Source organism: Homo sapiens, chromosome 8 (assembly GCF_000001405.40).
Source record: "Homo sapiens chromosome 8, GRCh38.p14 Primary Assembly".
Taxonomy (NCBI): domain Eukaryota; kingdom Metazoa; phylum Chordata; class Mammalia; order Primates; family Hominidae; genus Homo; species Homo sapiens.
The window spans coordinates 87,736,321-87,758,144 of NC_000008.11; the positions used below are offsets into that span (position 1 = coordinate 87,736,321).

At 35.0% G+C, this 21,824-nt stretch overlaps 1 annotated feature.

The window, feature by feature from the left end:
• Positions 15,042-15,543: an enhancer, noted in NCBI's record as "NANOG hESC enhancer chr8:88763590-88764091 (GRCh37/hg19 assembly coordinates)". NCBI's record gives its function as "activates a minimal SCP1, AML or CMV promoter by ChIP-STARR-seq in naive and primed H9 embryonic stem cells {active_cell/tissue: H9 hESC(naive and primed)}" and the evidence as "EXISTENCE:reporter gene assay evidence [ECO:0000049][PMID:30033119]".

Sequence of the window (21,824 nt, forward strand, 5' to 3'; positions counted from 1 at the left end):
ATTATAAAGATACTGGTCAGGTCTAGTAGTGCTTTATACCTTAAAGGCAATCTTAACCAAGATTAGTATAGTTCCTCTAGCTTGCTTTGCTTAGCATTTACATGGTATATGTATTCATTTGTTTCCTTTCAATCTTTACTTTTTTCTTAAGTTTATAAGTTTTCTCTTTAAAAAAGCATGTGGCAGACTTATCTTTAATACACTATGACAGTCTTTTATACACATCATTTAGTCCATTTATCTCTATTGTAAATGCTTATGTTTGCATTTACATATATCACTATAGTTTGTGCTTTCAATTTGTCCTACATTTTTGTGATTCCTTGAGTCTTCTTTCTTGCATCTTTTTGATTTTTTTAATCATTTCACTTTTCTCTCTGTTGTGTTTGTTATACTACCAGAAACAAATGTCAACAGATATCTATTCATTTATATATATATATATCTAGTTCTCGATGTAGACTGTATGCAGAAAATACATTTATTTAATGAATAAATTAATGAGTATAACAACTTATCTTAGACTACACAATTAGTAAAAGGATAAATATTTTTTAAGAGTAATAAAGACTCACTAAAATTTCAACTCAAGTTTTAAATGTATCACTAAAAAGTAAATTCTTTAATCCCCAAGGAGCAGTGTTTTGTTGTAATTTATCAAAATACCTTATTGAATCTAGTAAAAACTGAAAGAAATTTCAACAGAATTATTCTATTTTATACAAAATGGTGATCATTATCATTATTTTCAATCTTTTCCAATACATTGTTAAGATAAATGCTTTTAGTATATACACAATGTTTTCAAGTGAAGTTAATTTTTTCATATTTCATGTCACATCATACAGATGCTAAATATATAGGCTTAGAATATAAGATGCAAAAAGGCATAAATGCTGTATATTCATTCAAGCGTGAACAGAGTCAATATACTGAGACTATCACCAACCATGCCTTTAGATATACGGCAAAAATGTATTAAACCCATTGCCCCAGGAAGTCCATAAAGCCAATTTCTATTGAGAATGACTAAGATTTCTGATGAAGTAGATGCTAGAGAAATAATATTTTTTTTTTTTTTTTTTTTTTTTTTTTTTGAGACGGAGTCTCGCTCTGTCGCCCAGGCCAGACTGCGGACTGCAGTGGCGCAATCTCGGCTCACTGCAAGCTCCGCTTCCCCGGGTTCACGCCATTCTCCTGCCTCAGCCTCCCGAGTAGCTGGGACTACAGGCGCCCGCCACCGCGCCCGGCTAATTTTTTGTATTTTTAGTAGAGACGGGGTTTCACCTTGTTAGCCAGGATGGTCTCGATCTCCTGACCTCATGATCCACCCGCCTCGGCCTCCCAAAGTGCTGGGATTACAGGCGTGAGCCACCGCGCCCGGCCGAGAAATAATTTTATAGAATCCTTTTAGCATATTAATATTCTAAAACACCTGCAGGACACATTATTAATGACAACGAGAGACTTTCAGATATTACTCAAATAAATCATAACATCTCTAATTGGCCTTTGGCTGTTCTCATCAATTTGGGAAAAAACATGTTTAAACCATCCCTAAATTATAAGATGTTTTACAGTCAGAGAATTTATCTGCTGATTATTTAAATGAGGAGTCATACTTACTATGCTCATGTATATTACACTGCACATTTATCCCTTGCAAAATAATATATTTTACAAGCTCATGTCAAAGTATTAATTTAAGTGATTGACTTACCAAAAGAATGCTTTGTGGAGGGAGAGGGAGAGATTTTGAGTGTCTTTTCAAAATATAAATAAAGTGTATCTTATAATTCTTTTACGTTACGTCTAAGTAAGTATAATTCAGAACAACAAGCTCTGAAACACTCGTGAAGCTAGGCAATATGTGTAAGCTGCATATTAGCAAATTTAATAATCTAGGAAAAGTCAACCCACTGAAATTTCACTCTCCTATTCTGGGTTCAATAATTACTTAAGTTTTATACTATCCCATGGCATACATTATACATTTTCTTCTCTAGTGAAACACTATTTTTCTTTACAAAAGAAAACACCAAAAACATTGATTTAAATATAATAAATGCATGTTGTATGTGCATTGAAAGAAGGTCTAAATTTGTATTACAGTAACAAGTAAATGGAAAAACGAGCATATTTCTATAGGACTATAGGAATGCAATGACCATATGTATATAAATCCCATTTTTTCATGGCAGGTATGTATTATATAACACATTGACACATAAAATGTGAACCATCCAAAAAACAAAGTATTAGGTGACATTTGATTATTTCTTTGATTATTTCTTATTAAATTTTGAATTTCATTCTTTTTCCCTTTATAATCTGATTTTCTTTCTGCCTCTGATCACTTTTACTACCACTGTATTTTCTGCAGGCTCATATTCTTCTAAGAAGAAACCAATTGTTGCAATTTCACTGGCTTCAGTGAAAGGCTTTCTTCTCACCAGGTACATTTTTGCTTGTCTATGCATGCTGAGGCTTACCTCCATGCGAATGATACAGAATTTGACATTCTAGTGCAGATGCTTCTCTGAGCTCCAAACACATATGCACAATTGCTACTTTGACATCTCTTTTCTATTTCAAACTCAACCTATTCACATCTAGAAGCATCAAAAGATAATTTTATATGTACTGACACCCAGAGTAGTCTTTTTTTGAATCCAAGTGAATAGATCAACCATCCATCTCATATCTCACGACCAGTACTTTGAGTCCTCCCCAACATCTGCTTCCCTCTCAGCTCCTTTTCCAATTCATCTCAAGATCGCGGTGACTTTACTTTTACTCCCTAAGTATTTCTCAAATTTACCTCCATATCCAGACTGCATTCAGAAATGGCATTTTCAAAATACAGCTCTCTCTTTTTTTCTTTTATGCACGTGCACGCATACACACATGCCTTGCCATTTTATGGCAAAAGGAGTGTGTTAATGGGATCATAAACATGAAATCCACTTGTATTACCATGTTCTATAACCCAGAAGTAGTTGGCCTATTCTACCAATTGAATAGTGGAATGGCATATTGAAGGGTCAACTAAGATGTCAACTCAGGGACAAAACTTTAAGGAGCTGGAGCACCCTGTCAGAATGTGGTCACTGTTGTGAACCAAAGGCTGGTATATGGTCATGTGTCTCCAATAGTTGAAATACCAGAACTTTGTCACCAAGGCTAAAAGCAGGATTGGAACCTCTCACCATCACTCTTAGAGACTCACTTGCAGAATTTATTCTTCCAATCCATTCATCCTTAGCATCTTCTAGATTACAGACTCTGACACTTAGGATAAAAATCATTGAGGTGACACAATAAGAGCTTCGCTGAACTGAACATTTGACTACCACCTGGCCATGTTGGATTCACATTCCAGTGTTCCCACAAGAAAACAATAGAATGACTAGACTATGTAACTAGAGTGATGAGAATAAATGACCTTGTTAGCATGGAACTGCTATAGGGAGAAGTGTGTCTAGAATAATGAGGGCTCAATTGGCATCACTTCCTGTTTCCACGCCTAGTAATAACTGTGATTGGATAACCAAAGTAACCATAACCTGATAAGGACAAGGCACTTATGGGCCCAAAGACTTAAATATAGGTTCAGTCCGTCTTACCAGACAGCCTGAAGTACAGGTCAACTGTGAATAAAAAGAAGTTCCAAGACCAGATGCAGCAGTGGGGATTGCATCTCTGTTTATTTGCTAACTAACTTCTTTAAAGTCTTTTTTAGGTCATTTAAATGGCTGCCATTCTGAAGAATTGGAATTGCATTGCCCTTCTTAGAGATGGAAGATTCAGTTTTCACTTGTGATACAGTTATCATAAGAGGGTATAAGCTTATCTGAAAGGTTCAGGGTGTACACTGTACCAGATCCAGTTTCCAAGTATCACCAGATCCACTCAGGGCAACTTGCTCCCTGGATCTTGGCTTCCCCTTCTGATCTATCCAACAGGAGAGATGTAATGTCAAGTTATAATCCCTGGCAACCACTGCTTTCACCTCATCTTTTTTTTAAATTATACTTTAAGTCCTGGGATACATTTCACCTTATCTTTTAACATGAATTATCTTAGCCTTTCCCAAGGACATGGACTAACCTTCAGCAATACCTCCATTAAACCCACCTCAGTTCCAGTATATACAGGTCTTACAGACAGAGTTATGATAGCTCTACCATCCCCAGAGACTTCCTAAAACAACCAAAGTAACAGAATCTGGAAGTGGTGGAAGTTAACAGTATATAGGGAAAATTTTGACTAGGGAGCAATGAGACAAGAAGGAATCTACATACCAACTACTCATTCTTCCCCAACCTGACAACAGGGATTCCATTTATTCACCCTTAACTTGAATCATGTGACTGATTAACTACCTGGGTGCTTTTGTGAGAATGTGCCCTGTTCAGAACCACATAACTCCAAACTGGCTTTCTCTTTTTTCTCATTTGTTCTTTCCCACCTCTCTTAAATCCCAGAATTATAACCCACAGTAAAGTATTAGTAAGTAAGCATTGTCTCAATCTGTTATTTAGGGAACCTGGGCTCAAAAACCTTATGAAACACGCCAAAGTCCTCTAACTTATCCCACAACCCCTGTTACCAGCAGAGGTAGCTGCTGAAACTCGAAGTATTTATAAACATAATTTATCTTTTGTTTGTTTCTTAAACAAAATGGATATCCACCTAAGGATAGGAATCATGGGGAGCCTCCAAATCCCTTTTAAAAGTCTAAAGGAACTTGTTTACTCAGCAAAGGAAGAAATATTTCCAAATATTATAAAATAATGTGCAGACACACAAGTGTTTGGCACATGTTTATCAAGGATTAAAGCATTAGTAAGTGAAAAGAGAAAGAAAAGTAGGTTGGTTTAACATTATACCATGGTAAATATTATTTTATTAAGACTCAAGGATATGAGAAAACAGAAGGATTTTCACTATGAAATATTTAAACATGTGAGGAAAATGAAATTGAAAGGGAACACATTATGTACTTCTGAAAAGTTTTGACAGAACCTCGTCAGATGCAGAAAATGAGAAAGATAGAGAAGGAAAAATACAGCCTAATGATGTACATCAAAAAATTTAGAACAGATTTTTATAAATCATATATAAAACCTGTTTAACAATTCATTAGCTAGTTCTTTTTCTCACACCTAGTTTTCTAAGTCCTTCCATTTTTCCCAGAGCTGATATGCTTGGGTATTTTGAGTATGGAACCTGTCCTGCCAAGCAAAGGATTCGCCTTATAGTCACTATTGTTAATATTAATATTTCTTGTATTTATTCTTTTTAAAACTTCAGAAGAATCTGCCAATCATTTGTAATTAACATTTATTAAGGCCTTAGCACTTTGACAAGTATGTTATTTTACCAGCCTTCATGGTGGCAAAGCAGAAACATGAAACTAAAGAGCTTATCTTACTGGCTCAAAAACACACAACCACATATTAGATCATGGATCCAATGTTCCTATTTGACAGATTAAGCCTCTGTTCTACATTCCACGTGCCGTATTTTCCAAGGATGGTCACTCAACTCAAAGGCTGTTAGTTATTTTCAATTCCAAATATAAAGATACTGAATTCTTCTTCCCAAGATCAACATACTGTATCAAAGGAGGAAGGATGTTCAAACCAATCTTGGTATCAGTCCCCCTGCCCTGCATGCCTGTTAAGAGCAGGGAATTGGGTTAAAAAGAACAAATGCTCTTAGCCCAAGGATAAAAGCATTAAGAAGTAATATCTTCAATATAATAGTTTTTGTAGGAATAATAAAAACATGATATTTTTAAATGAAAATGCTATTATATTTTTAAAATATTTTTAAAATATATATCATTACTAGAAAAAGTATTATATACAATATTTATTGACTTTCAATCAGCATTAACTATATATGTTAAGATTTTTAAATGTGGCCTTTTTCTAATTACTTATTCATGAGTTCCTCAGATAAATTTAAGTATCTACTATGTGCTACGAACTATGCTTAGTGCTAAGAATGCAGTGGCAAGCCAAGCAGCCTTGTTGCTTCCATTCATAGAAGTTACAGTCTAAGGATTACATCAGGCATAATCCGTTACAGAAGACCCAGAAGTAGCAGCAGGATTTCATAACTATTGTAAACTTGGGACTGTGATTTAACACCTTTTTTGAGAAAAAGATAGACATGTTTAGATATACCTAAAGGAATATAAATCATGCTGCTATAAAGACACATGCACACGTATGTTTACTGCAGCACTACTCACAACAGCAAAGACTTGGAACCAACCCAAATGTCCAACAATGATAGACTGGATTAAGAAAATGTGGCACATATACACCATGGAATACTATGCAGCCATAAAAAATGGTGAGTTCATGTCCTTTGTAGGGACACGGATGAAGCTGGAAACCATCATTCTCAGCAAACTATCGCAAGAACAAAAAGCCAAACACCACATGTTCTCATTCATAGGTGGGAACTGAACAATGAGAACACTTGGACACAGGAAGGGGAACATCACACACCAGGGCCTGTTGTGGGGTGGGGGGAGGGGGGAGGGATAGCATTAGGAGATATACCTAATGTAAATGACCAGTTAATGGGTGCAGCACACCAACATGGCACATGTATACATACGTAACAAACCTGCACATTGTGCACATGTACCCTAGAACTTAAAGTATAATATATATATATATATTAGTATATATATATATAAAATAGTATATATATATAAGTATATATATAATAGTGTGTATATATATATATATATATATGTATAAAAACATGTTTAGAATGTTTCTAAGAAGAATTTGGATAACTTTACTTAGTAGTCACAACAAGCCAGTCAACTAGCTGAAATTTTAAGAGGTAGGCAGTTTCCAATGCACGAGAAAAACGCAATGCAATGAAAAACTATATAATATAACTAGGGCTCAGGGTCTCAATGGACAAAACAGGGGGCTCACTAATGGACTGCTGAGCATTTGTCCTATGACCTGCTGACTACTCCCAGCTGATTTTAAGACTATTACATGCTGCAGATGTAATATTAACTGAGAAACGTTAGGGAAGTTAATTCGTGGCCTCCTAAAGAATTGGAGATCATGAAGGAAAAATATCATGATCTATTAATCTAAATAAACATTTTTGCTCTAGAAATCCTAAAGATTTTTTGTAGTGATTTGGCAGAAAGAGAAATAATAGATTTGACTCTTATAGAGTTTACACCTACTAAAATATACCTATTCTATTTGCCTTTGATTGTCTATGGTTCAGATTGAAAAACTTGACAGTTTACACCGACATAATTTGTTTGGCCTCATCTATAAACATTGGAAGTATTCTTACCACACACTCAGATGAAAAATTCAGCCCTCTTACCAGCCCAGCTTCTTGACAACCCTGCTAACTGCAAATTCAGCTCTGAGCATTAACTCTTAGCGTTGTTAAGCAGTTTTAGCTCATGCATATACAAGCTTCCCCTATTCTTAATTTTGGAGACCATTTGACTGTTTCATTAAATTTACTTTCATTCTTAATTTTATATTGCTCTTATAGGTTTATGAAAATCTTTCAGTAGTTATGAGTTTATTGCTTTTCTAGCTTTAGTATTCATCTTTGGACTTTATAATTTACCAATTTAAAGAATTGTATTGGCTTTTGCTATTTCTCTTTGTGGTAATAAAATTATATTAAGTCATAAACACTAGGCTCCTCAGTTGTTTTATCTTATTTTTAGCTTTTGTTTTTAGAATCTTTATTATTCTATTTACTATTGATGCTTTATGATTTCTGACTTTGGTTGTAACATGTTTTTTTTAAATTATTTTTCTATATTAACTAGTAACTTCTTCTGATATTAAATAAGAATGAAACAGTAGGCAAAGGGTAGGAGAAAAAAGTGAACAGGCAAAAGATAACCATAAGCAATTTAAATTACAATAACCTTTAATTTTTTAATACTCTGTAAAAAGGAAACACTGTTAAGAATATGTGCATGTGTGTGTGAGTATATATATGTGCATGTGTACATATGTTATCTATTTGTATATGTGTGCATCTACATATATACATATGTGTGTATATACAAATAAATAACACACATACACACACACACACACACACACACAAATATATGACTACCCAGATATAGACGATCACAACTCTGAAGGCAGGAAAGTAACATTGCCAACCCACTTTCCATTTGCACTGCTGCCTCCCTGACTGAGTCTTGTATCACATTTATTTGCCAGAATCTTGAAATTGCTTTCCAACTCTTCTCCCTTATTCTAGGGTGCATTCTGGCTGTTCATTGTTTAGGAAAAACTTGAACTCTGCTTAATTAGGGTTCATGTTCATGAAAGCATAATCAAAACCTAAAGAAAATTGAAGCTTCTCATCTGTCAAAACTATGCTAGGTCTAGTCGTAGACATATGATTGGTTTAAAAAATTGTATTGGCAATTTTGTTTTAATACTATTCCATTCCTTCAGAATCAGACATAATTGTTAAGTTAATAGCACTTTTGTTACTTTGGTTATATTTTCAAATCCATATTATGTCTGGCACGTTGAGTATTTTGATGTACTTTTTTGGTGGTTTAAGATAATCAAAAGTGAAACAAGAGGTTATCTACCTAGCAAATCCTACATATTCTAAATTCAGTCAAGAATTTTTTCCCAAGAAATTTATGTCCAAATAATGCTCATACAAAACTGAGTGCAGTGGCTCACACCTGTAGTTCTAGCTATTTGGAGGTCATTGAGCCTGTGAGTTCAAGACTGCAGTGAGCTATGATTGCTCCATTACACTCCAGCCTGGGTGACAGAGCAAGACCCTGTCTACATACATATTTAAATCAAAGAGGTGTAATTTAACTGCTTTGGCTCATTTAAATGTCACCAGTTGACTCACAAGTGAAAAGAATTTCTACATCATTGTGCATAAAACTGTTACTGAAATTTCTTAAATTGATTTTGCTAGCAACTGGACTCAAGAACAAGGGAAGAAAAAGGATTACTATCTATTAAACTCAGAGAACACATATATATTCATCCAACATTAATTGAGTTTTGAAAATGAATGAAAAACCTTTTTATCAATGATACTGAAGTTCTTCAATGAGGAGCAAAAGAAGTTCTACGGTAGAGTAATACAAAACCCAGTCTTCGAGGAAAAAACTTTCCTTGCATATATTGTCTCAAATATGTGTCTTTATTTTTTCAAAATCAAAATATGGCTAAAATACACTAATCCTTTATAAATAAACTCGTTAAGAAAGCTAATTTTCCTTGATTGCTTTCAGTGTTTTAACTTTTGATAGGTTAATGATTAACACTGAGCTTTCTCCAACTACATATTAAGTAACCAGAGATTGCACTGAAACACAATCTGCCACAGACAACGTTTGCACTTGAGCCCAAGTAACTTGTTAAGAGACAATAACTACTGCAGCCACAACAGCAACAACACTCTTTACAATAATAAAACAGAGTAAGCAGTCTCCAGATTGCGATAATGCAAAATTACCTGATATATGGAGAAACAAAAACACATGTTCAATTCTCAAGAGCAGAGACAATAAATGAGGATCAACCTCATGATAACCCAGACATTGAAATGAGCACATAAGGATTTAAAGCAGCTATTATAAATATATTCAAAGATAAATAAATAAATAAAAATATAAAAATCAGAGCAGAGAGGTAGAAATTTTTAAAACCCAATGAAAATCTTAGAACTAACATATGTAACATTTAAGACAAAAAAATTCACTGGACAAGCTCAATAGCAGAATGGAGATGACTGAGAAAAGAGACAGTGAAAATGAAGATAGATCCATATAAATGATCGAATCTGAAAACCAGGAAGAGCAAACAACTTTTTAAAATCAGCCTATCAAAATATCTACAATATATATAATTGATCTTCCAGAAGGAGAAGAGAGAATATAGTAGAACAATACTTTTTTAAATATATAAGAACTTATCAAATTTGATGAATGACATAAATTCACAGAATTTACAGAAAGATGTGATGAAGAACCCCATGTTCAGGTACACTGCAGTCAACCTGTGTAAAATGCAAGCTAAAGAGAAATTACTGAAAGCAGCCTGAGAAAAATGTTACTTATGAGGAATAACTATTATAGTCACTATTGTTAACACTAACATTTCTTGCATTATTCTTCTAAAAACTTAAAAACAACCTGTGAATCATTTTAAATTTATTAAGACCTTAGCACTTTGACAAGTACGCTATTTTACCAGCCTTCATGTTGGCAAAGGAGAAACATGAAACCAACGAGCTTATTTTACTGGCTCAAAAACACACAACTGCATACTAACTTTGTATCAAAAACTATGGAGGCTAAAGACAGTGGAATACCATCTTTAAACTGCTTAAAGGGAAAAAACAACTATCAATTCAGGATTCTGATTTGTCTTTTGGTCTATGAACTCAATTTGTGAATTTATATGAGGCTTCCCTGATATATTTGCATTTATATATACGTGTATTTGTCTCTGTGTGTGTATATCTATATGCACACACGTGTGTATGACTATATGCACACACGTGTGTGTATGACTATATGCACACACGTGTGTATATGCACACACGTGTGTATATGCACACACATATGTACACAATGCATATATATATACATATATGTACACACATATACATACTTACATGAATAATTCTGTATCAGACCACTAGGTGATTTATGAAAAACAATTCATGTCCTCAAAAACCTTATGGTTTAGATGAGGAGACTTGGTTCATGTTGTAAAATAAACAATTGATGATCCAAAACAGAGCTATCTCTACCAGAACCAATCCATTCTGAAAAAGTGGGATTATAAATCTGGTGAATTTCTTTTTAGCTATTATTTTCTTCATAAAAATTGTAATACTTTCCACATGCTATTTTATTTGTCCAAGTACCTTATTTCCCCGCTCTATATTCCTTCTTGGGGTTCATACAATATCTGTTATCCCAATGCTTCTTCCTGTTGCTTCATTTAATTTATTTTTCTTTTCCTTACATTTGCCAAACAATAGTTTGACAGGATGATTTTTTTATACTCACATCCTCAAGCTCTCAAAATTGTGTTTCCTGAGAAACACCTGGTGCCAGCTCAGTTCACCGCAGTTTTCATCTTTATGTTAGAAAACAAAGTATAGATTTTGTACCTCCCGGAGAGTCCTTCGTTTCCCACATGCTTTCTTTGTGCTAGTACTGCTTCTGGGATGCACTGTTTCCAGTCCCTCTCAATGCTGTGATTTCTCTCCATAGCTTCTCAGCTCTATTCCCTACTGCACAGCTTCTGCCTAATTTCAGCTCTGTTCGCAGCCTTTACCTCTAATACAAAACCTGAGGATTATAGTGTCTCCTCATTTTGCTGACTATAGAGTTGTGATCATTTTTGGTTTTGAATAACTTCCAGGAGGAGGAAGAGAGACTGTTGTTGATTTACTCAGTCACATTCCTACTAGAAGTCTACTTTTATATTTTAAAATAACTCGTTTTGACTGCTGTTTATTTATATTTCATTCTTTATCACTAAGCCTAAATAAAGTCAAACATACTCCCTTCCTTCTATGCTCCCAACAGAACTATATTACAATTTTGAGTTGAATCTGTAATCAGCATCCACATGGATATTAACCAGTTATAATTTTTAAAACAAACCAAATGACTATATCTTATTTCTTTTACTTTTTTTTACTGGATGGAGTTTATTGTCTAACTATTTTTGTTTGCTTACTAAATTTACTATGTAGCTATCACTAATTTACTCCCAAATTCTGATCTTTACTCTCAATTCAGATCTTCAGAGTTTCTTCTGAACTTCAATTTCTGAAGTTTAGAGTGAATCTACAGAGCTCAACTTACATGCCCCTTAGTGTTTTGCATTTAGCTTTCCTCTCACTTCATATGCTAATTCAGATGCCATTTGGCAATAAGCATTTTTACAAAAACAAATAACTCATTAATTTTAATTGACAAATACAAATTGTATATATTTACCCTGTATAGCATGATGTAATGTATAAACATGGGAGTGAAGATATTTCTTCAACATAGTGATTTCATTGTCTTTGGGTATACCCAATAATGGAATTGCTTTATAAACATTTTGGCTTACAAAATTTGTAGACACCTGTCAACAACTGCCACCTCCAGGCCTATTCTCATTATCTTTGTTGAAATTATGATATGTTTTAATAACTATACTATCACTTTTATAGGTTCAAATTCTTTATATATCCATTTTATTTTATACAGAGTATTACATTTCCATTATACAGTCTTTTACTTAATGTAAAATAAAAAATAAATTCTCAATTTTCTAACAAATATTTCATCTAAAATATAGTCAAAGAAGAAACATTTCAGTCAAAATAATTTTAAGGGCTTGTGACACTACCTTCTTGGTGAAATTAAATAAGTTGAAATAGAGAACTCATGAATTGTCCTAGAAAAATAAGGATTTAGGCCAATATTAACATGAAAATTTAATTAAATCAGAATAAGCCAGTCTTTCTATAATTTTGTTTTGTCTTACAATAAAGAGACATACGGTTTCTTTGTTATGACAAGTCTAATTATTTGGAGAGATCAAGTGTTTTAAAATGTTAAAATTTCACTGATAAAAGCACATCCCTTTTTTGTCATAGACAAGACTGAAATTCTACTTTGACTCCTGTATTTTCATTAAAAAAATAAAGATTATATGTGTCTGATTCTTGGACACCTCCACAGCCAACTATGTTTGCATTATCTGAATTTGAGACAAAGATACCTTTGGCAAGTATTCCCCATCCTTAAAACAATTTCACCTTTAGTATTGTATACCTGCTTGAGATCATAGAAGATGTAGGTTTTCTGTTTGTTGAATGAATGAGTAACTGAGCAAACAAATGTGGATTAAAGATTTAGACTTCTGTCATTGACTTCTCCCATAAAGATTCTGATATTGCAAAGGTATTTTCAATCCTTTGGGGATCATTTTTATACTCATGAGTTAATTTTTCTCCAATTTGTGTATTAGACATATGTTCTATTTAATTAACATATTCTGAATACATAAACAAATGTTTACATAAACAAAAGTTGCCAGGGGGTGGGAACAAGGAGAGAGGGATTCCTAACAGATGGGACTATTGATAACTAAAACTATTATTTATTGAAAGACTAATATACTTCAAGTGGAATCTTACAATTTTAAATATATTATTAAAACTGAAGTTGACAAGGTGAGCAATCAGCACTTGCTGCTATCAGAAATAAACTTAATGATGAAAAGTTATAGGCATGTTTAAGAAATAAAAGTGGAAATGATGGTTAAGAGATAAATGTTGAAAACTTCAAATGCAGCAAGATATGAACATGGATTTTGTTATTTTTGTTTTTTAATTCACATTTGATTTCTGTGATAGTATTAGAAAAAAAACCCTTTTATAAAGCTACTAAGATAATTCTTCTTTCTCTATTTTTAGCTAAAACATGAACAGAAAATGTCATTTTGTGGGAAAGTCTCCTGCCAAAGGAGTGTGGATTTTTTTTACCAATTTTGTATATATAGGGACTTTGGAGGGTCTGGTCATTCCATTTTTGTTCTTATACAAATGGCCAATGTTGCAATGACAAAATTCAACCATACTCATGATGATTACATTTACCAGCCATTAGAAACTGTATTCTTGAAGATTAAACTTTGATTCTGAAAATTTTATATAAGATGGATCATTAGTTTCCTTCTCAAAATAACTCTATCCAAGTAAAGATTTTAAATTTTTTTGTATAGAAAATTGAGGCATAGCAAAGTGAATTACTTCCAGAATTAAAAAAACAAGAATTAAAGAATATGTCTAATTTTGCCAGATAGAAATTGATAAAATTTACTTAAGGTTAGGAATCCAATGTTAATACTGCATATATATAATATGTATATAAAATATATATACTATATATGTATCTTTTGAATAATATTAATTTTTATAATATTTTAATGATAAGAATACAATTTTGAATGTCATTTGCAACATTAATTTTGCTATGAGCTCTATTAAAAAGAATTGGAGTTTTGAACTTCTGAGTCTTAAGAATGTATTTGCTATCGCAGCAACTTCCAACCACTTCTGCAAAAAAACACAGCACACTTTAATTTTGCTGGTTGTGTCTTTACTCCTGACCAGTTTAAAATTGAATCTGAAACAAAAATGATGTGGTTTAATATAACTTAGAGTTATGAAACTAACAATCTATTTTGTTATTTAATCACACAGTAATTATACCTTTTTTGGTAAATAATGTGGGGTTAATAGACATAATGGCACTTTCATTGAGAATAGGTAGTGGAGAACGTAATAATCTAAGTGATTTAGATGAAAGTGATCTTTTGGTTTTTATTGAGAAACAAAAATAAAATTCTAAGCCCGCCCAGCTGACTGAGCAGACAGTCCATTGGCCAAGGGAATCCCACAGAAACCTTGGAAGCTGAGCTGCTGGACTTGACAGGATGGGAGGTCAAACACACCTGCTTATACTCTCTCAATAGTCACCATTAGGTCTTCTTCCCTAAGGGCTAAACAGAAACCACCCTTTCAAAAGACTCCACCACTGATTTCAACCAACCTCCTGACTGCCTCTTCCTTTTGTGGTTTCAGTACAACAACCATCTGGCATTCCTTCCTGATAAAGAGACTACCTGCCACAGAGTGGTTCTGGCCAGTCTATAGAGGATACACAGTGAGGATTTTCACGTCCTCTGTTTCACCTTTTGACATCAGAGAACCAAACACTCCACCCTGGGATCATCCTAATGACATCATTTTATGCACATGCAACACACAAAGAAACACAAAGCTCACCTGTGCATGTGCGATTTCTCCTTTCATAAATATTCATGACTCCTCTTGTATAGAGGAAACCAGCCCCCAATATTTCAACGTAGGTTCTATTTTCCGTAAGTGTTGGCTGGTCTGAGAAATAAAGAGAAAGAGTACAAAGAGAGAAATTTTAGAGCTGGGCCTCTGGGGGTGTCATCACATTGGTAGGACTGTGATAACGACCCCGAGCCGCAAAACCAGCAAGTTTTTATTATGGATTTTAAAAGGGAAGGCAGTGTACGAACAGGGAGTAGGTCACAAGGATCACATGCTTCAAAGGGCAATAAAGTTCACAAGGTGAAGGCAAAATTAGAATTACCGATGAGGGTCTATGTCCCGCTGTGCACGCATTGTCTTGATAAACATCTTAACAGGAAACAGGGTTCAAGAGCAGACAACCGGTCTGACTAGAATTTACCAGGCTGGAATTTCCCAATCCTAGTAAGCCCGAGGGTGCTGCAGGAGACCAGAGTGTATTTCAGTCCTTATCTCAACCGCATAAGACAGACACTCCCAGAGTGGCATCTATAGACCTACCCCCAGGAATGCATTCCTTCCCCAGGGTCATTCCTGGCTGGGAAAAGAATTCAGTGATATTTCTCCTACTTGCACATCCGTCTATAGGCTTCCTGAGAGAAGAAAAATATGGCTGTATTCTGCCCAACCTGGCAGGCAGTCAGACCTTATGGTTGTCTTCCCTTGTTCCCTGAAAATCACTGTTATTCTGTACTTTTTCAGGGTGCACTGATTTCATATTGTTCAAACACATGTTTTACAATCCATTTGTACAACAGTGGTCCTAAGGTGACATACATTTTCAGCTTACGAAGATAACATGATTAAGAGATTAAAGTAAAGACAGGCAAAAGAAATTATAAGAGTATTGATTGGGTAAGTGATAAATGTCCATGAAATTTTCATAATTTATGTTCAGAGACTGCAGTAAAGACAGGTATAAGCAATTGTAAAAGTATTAATTTTGGGAACTGATAAATGTCCATGAAATCTTCACAATTTATATTCTTCTGCCTCAGCTCCACCCGGTCCCTCCGTTCTGGGTCCCTGGCTTCCCAAAACACCCTTGTGGCTTATTAAATATGCATATTTGGCTACCCCAATCAGCATAAATTCCTGTTCCCTTTGCTGTTCCCTCAAAGTATCTGTTTTCATCTTCTGGCCGGAGGCTATGCTATTCCCAGCCTGGTCTGAATGGCCACACAGCAGGCTGCAACACTTTGTAAGAACTAAAGCTCTCCTTTCCAAATGTATAAACCTTGACATTCTCCAGTTAACAATACTTTGATAGCATGAGTTGCCTAACTGGCTGCAAGTTAACACTGTCATCTTGTTTCCACTTAAATGGGAATAAGTGCTTCTCTTCTTGGGATGCACTAGATTGCTACAACTTGGTTATATATCCTTTATGTCATCAGGTCTAATTGTTTATGTTACTAGATTTTTTGATTGAAATAAGGAAAAAATAAGGTTGTTTTTATCTTCCTCCACTTATCTTGACACATTCATCAGAAATTTTTTTTTTTACAAGTATAGATTTCTATTATATTAAATTGCTCTTCTGAATGATATAGAATTATAGTACATTTTAGGTTTTCTTTTTTTTATTATTATTATACTTTAAGTTTTAGGGTACATGTGCACAAAGTGCAGGTTTGTTACATATGTATACATCAGGGATCTAGAACTAGAAATACCATTTGACCCAGCCATCCCATTACTGGGTATATACCCAAAGGATTATAAATCATGCTGCTGTAAGGACACATGCACACGTATGTTTATTGCGGCACTATTCACAACAGCAAAGACTTGGAACCAACCCAAATGTCCAACAATGATACACTGGATTAAGAAAATGTGGTACATATACACCATGGAATACTATGCAGCCACAAAAAATGATGAGTTCATGTCCTTTGTAGGGATGTGGATGAAGCTGGAAACCATCATTCTCAGCAAACTATCGCAAGGACAAAAAACCAGACACCACATGTTCTCACTCATAGGTGGGAATTGAACAATGAGAACACATGGACACAGGAAGGGGAACATCACACACCGGGGACTGTTGTGGGGTGGGGGGAGGGGGGAGGGATAGCATTAGGAGATATACCTAATGCTAAATGATGAGTTAATGGGTGCAGAAATCTTTTTGATTAATAATGTATTCTTTCTTGCCTGACTCTTACAACAGACTTCCCCAGGCCTAAAGCTATTTAAAATTTTGTACCCTAGTACCAAAAGGGTTAACTCATAGATACAAGATTTAAATAACAGATGCATTCTAATTGTTGTCTTCTTCCAGGTCTCATCCTTATCAATGTTTCTGTAGATTTTGCTGATATCTCTCTATTAAGTCTTCCATTATTCTTTTGTCTTTTCTTACTTCTCTGGCCCTCTAAAATTTTGGTGTTCCCTTATGTTTCTTCATACCCTTCTGTCCTTCTATTCTTATTCTATAAGTTCTCAGTGATTTTATTTTTACATAACCCCTCAGTTGCTGCCTATACATTGGTGGCTCCTAAATATGTGTTCTTAATCTAGATCTCTAAGGGCTAATTCCTTCTAGAAACTTGTAGCCAGTTATTCCATAGATATTTAAAATTTAATACAGTATTTACATCCAGACCAGAAAAGCCTTTTTCCTGGGTCTTGCACTTTAAAACATCCCACATCTCTCCTACTCCCTCTTCTTTCTCTCTTTCTCTCTCTCTCTCTCTCTCTCTCTCTCTTGCACACACACACACACACAGAGTACCAAAAAACACAAGAGTGCCTCTGTCATTTGGGATTGGCTGCTTAGTGCTGTATAGCACAACCTACCACCTTAAACATCTGTACTCCTAACACTGTAAAGTTCCCAGGTAATTTCATCTCCTCTTATCCTGTCCTGTACCTTCAAAACAAAAGGCAACTGTGTAGGAACATTCTTCTGTTAGAGTGAGAGTCAGACACGGCTTCAGACAAAAAGGATTTGAGCTGTAAAAGCAGTTAGATAAGAAAAAAAAAAGATGTAATTTTCTTGTAAAATCCCACCTCAGAATATCTAAAAGAGTAGCATATCCCAGTATTACCAAGTATCTTTTTTCTTTTTTTAAATATCTTTCTGAAGGTTCTGAGGAATTAGCATAGTATTTACAACACTTAAGGAATTATCAATATGTAGATAAAAACAATTTGCATGAAACATGACACCAATTTTTACTGACAATTAGATGAATATAGTGTCATATAAAGGCAAAAGTTTGGTTTTTGTAAAAATGTCTAATAATATCTAATTACATTTCTTAAAACTTTATTTTGTAATTTTATTTCAAAATTGTATATTTAATATACTTTACATGTAATTTTAATTATTTTGATTTTTTTGGAAAATGAACTTTTAAAATGTATATTTTTAATATTTTTTCCATTAATTCATGTTAATTTACATTTTTTATGAAGATACATTCAAACTGCACACACTTTGAAGAGAATTATATTTTATTTTCAATCATTTACATAATTCAGCGAGTACTGTTCAACATTGTGACAGTAACCAACAAGTACAAAAGTATAGCCCAGGAAAGGAAAAAGATTAAAAAGACAAGAAATAGAAATTTTCTCTGAATAAGACATATTTTTTAAGATAGCATTATAGGACTTTTTAAACAGGTTTTTTTTTTTTTTTTTTTAAGCTTAACATCTGACTTTTAGATATTTAGAAATGTAGCATGTGAGTTTCCATTTATACTCTTGCCACACGCTCGGCAAATGTTAGGTATAGGACTTTTCAAATTCCGTGTCCATAACCCAACTTAGTATCTTTTTCTTTTAAATCTACTTTGCTTCACATATTTTGTAATATATTACTCAACCCTCTACCCAATTCCTTAAGCCAGAAACCTACATGTCACTCTAATTCTTCTTCACCCCTAAAATCTAGTCAACAAATATTTCTTTTTTAATTCTGAAGTCTTTTTGTTGGGGGCAAGGCCCTTGGCCATCTGAAGTTTTGCTGAAATATCAGCTCACAATGAGGCAGATTAATAAGAAAAGATATACAAATTTATTTAACTGTGTGCACGAGGAGAATCACAGTGATTGCTCCACATCCCAATAGCGTCCAAAAGCTTATATACCATATTAAGGTCACAGAAAGACTGAGGGCTTGGATCCTGGCAAAACAGGTTATAGGACCAGGAGAAGAGGAATTCTACTAGGGGGCAATAAATGATTACTAGGGAGAATGATTGGATTGGGGAACAGAAATTTACTTATAAATAGTTCTCTTTGGAATTTAAATGATACTTGGAGACAGTCCACATTTTGTAAAATTAGGGCCCTGCAGTAGTCTGTTTTCATACTGCTAATAAAGACATACTGGAGATTGGGTAATTTATAAGGAAAAAGAGGTTTAATGGACTCACAGTTCCATGTGGCTGGGGAGGCCTCACAATCATGGTGGAAGGCAAGGAGGAGCAAGTCACATCTTACATGGCAGCAGGGAAGAGCAAGCTTGTGTAGAGGAACTCCTCTTTATAAAACCACCAGATCTTGTGAGACTTATTCACTATCATGAGAACAGCATGGGAAAGACCCATGCCCATGATTCAATTACCTCCCACTGGGTCCCTCCCATGACATGCGGGAATTGTAGGAGCTACAATTCAAGATGAGATTTGGGTGGGAACACAGCCAAACTGTATCAGGCCCATTCTGGTGTGGTTACATTCTTGGTCTTCTTTCCAGTAAAGGGTAATAAGATAACAGGGAGGGGAACAAGGACAATTGTTCTCCTTGATGGGTCAGTCCTACCTTTATGCAGACAGATGAAGAGTCTCTTCCAGCTCATGTTGATCTCTAAGGATTTTTAATTCAAAGTTCTCATTATATCAGAGAGCCACATTTTGTGGTGAAATTTCCTGTGCCCATTCAATTTTTAAAATATCTTTAGAATTCATCATCTCCTCAGAAATCTTTCTGGGCCAACCTATACAAAGCAGCCTCTTCCACCCTTCCATTCAGCAACACCCTATCTCTATTGTAAACTAAAAACAGTATCTGAAAGAGGTCTCAATCCACTTAGAGGTTTTTGTTTTTGCTTTTGTTTTGTTGTTTTGTTTTGCTTTTTGTCAAGGTTGAGAATATACCTGGAAAAGGAGACGCAAGTCATAGTAGGGTTGTAATCAAGTATTTCAGTTTGAAAATGCATTTTAACCCTTTTTTTCTAGTCTTAGAATATAATCTTGAAATGTACTTTGAAATACTCTGTTTCCTTCACTTTCTTACCAGACACTCCCTTACACCATGCATGCTTATCTAATTGGATGCTTACTTAAAATTTTCAGAGGCTAAGGGCCAGGCACGGTGGCTCACTCCTGTAATCCCAGCACTTTGGGAGGCCAAGGTGGGCGGATCACAAGGTCAGGAGATTGAGACCATCCTGGCCAACACGGTGAAACCCTGTCTCTATTAAAAATACAAAAAATTAGCTGGGCGTGGTGGCATGTGCCTGTAGTCCCAGCTACTTGGAAGGCTGAGGCAGGAGAATCGCCTGAACCCGGGAGGTGGAGGTTGCAGTGAGCCGAGACTGTGCCATTGCACTCCAGCCTGGGTGACAGAGCAAGACTCCATCTCAAAAAAAAAAAAAAATGTCAGAGGCTAATCTTGAGATAAATCAGCCATGGATACCAAGCTGCAGAACTCTCCCCAACCTGGAGATTACCTCAAGATCATTAATCTACAACCTGGCCACAACCAAGATGGCACCAGCCTGCACTCTAGGTGGACGATAACTCAAGATAGCACTCAAAACAAAACATGCAGACCTGCACCCTGCACCACTCCCTCATGTTTCCCATACCAAGTTTCCCTTTTTAAACCCCCTCAGTCATTTGAGATGGTTTTTGGATGCATGAGCCTAACCATCTCTTCAACTGCTGGCATTTGAATAAAACTTCTTTCCTTCTACCATACCTCATCTCTTGTGTATTCAGCTTTTTGATCAGTGAGTAGCTAGACCTGAGTTCAGGTACAGGATCTGTGTCCCATACTTTTTCCAGAAAGGATTTTGAGGGCTTCAGTATTTAAATGGGGAAAAAAGCAGGCCAGGAGGGGAAAGGGGAAAAAAAGGAGGGAAGGTAGTGAGATAAGTGATCACATTCCTGTCATGCCTTCACTAGCAATCATTGAATCCATATGTTACATGTGAAAGGCAGTGGTAGGAGAACAGTCAATTACGCATTCATCTCTTACTCAGTCAATCTGCATTTGTCTCAGTGGGGGCAAAAGGATAATTTCCGGTCTTGTTTTTGTCCTGTACTTGTGAAGATAAACTGTTAATTTTCATTGTTATGGTAAGGGAGTCCCCTGAAAGATATGTGCCCATCTATCTTGCAGCTGACTGTTTAGTAAGAAAAGGAAAGGCAGTTTCTTGCATGACTCAGTTTCCAGGCTTAACTTTTCCCTTCTGCATAGTGAGTTTGGGTTCCTGAGATTTTATTTTATTTTCCTTCCACACTATCTAATTTCTTCCTCATACTTATTAATTTGGAACTTATTACATTTATATACTTATTTTTCAGAGATTAATCTCTACCCCTACATGATAGTACAGGCTCCAAGTAGGTTTATCTAGCTCATCACTATATTTGTGAGGCCTAGAACACTGCCTGGTACATAAGAACAACTGAGTAAATAACTTGTTAAATTAATGAATGAATTTTCTGTGTCCACACAGATGTTTAGTGAAAAGAGAATGTCTCATTTTAGGCAACTTTTTTTTGAAGAGCAAAACATTTAGTGTGTCTGTGCAGCCCTTTTGATACACAAAGAATTTTGTTATTGGTCTTACAGCTGCATTTAGAATCTTCTTTCACTGAATGAAGAAGCATTCTCTTAAATAACTGGACTTTCTTAGC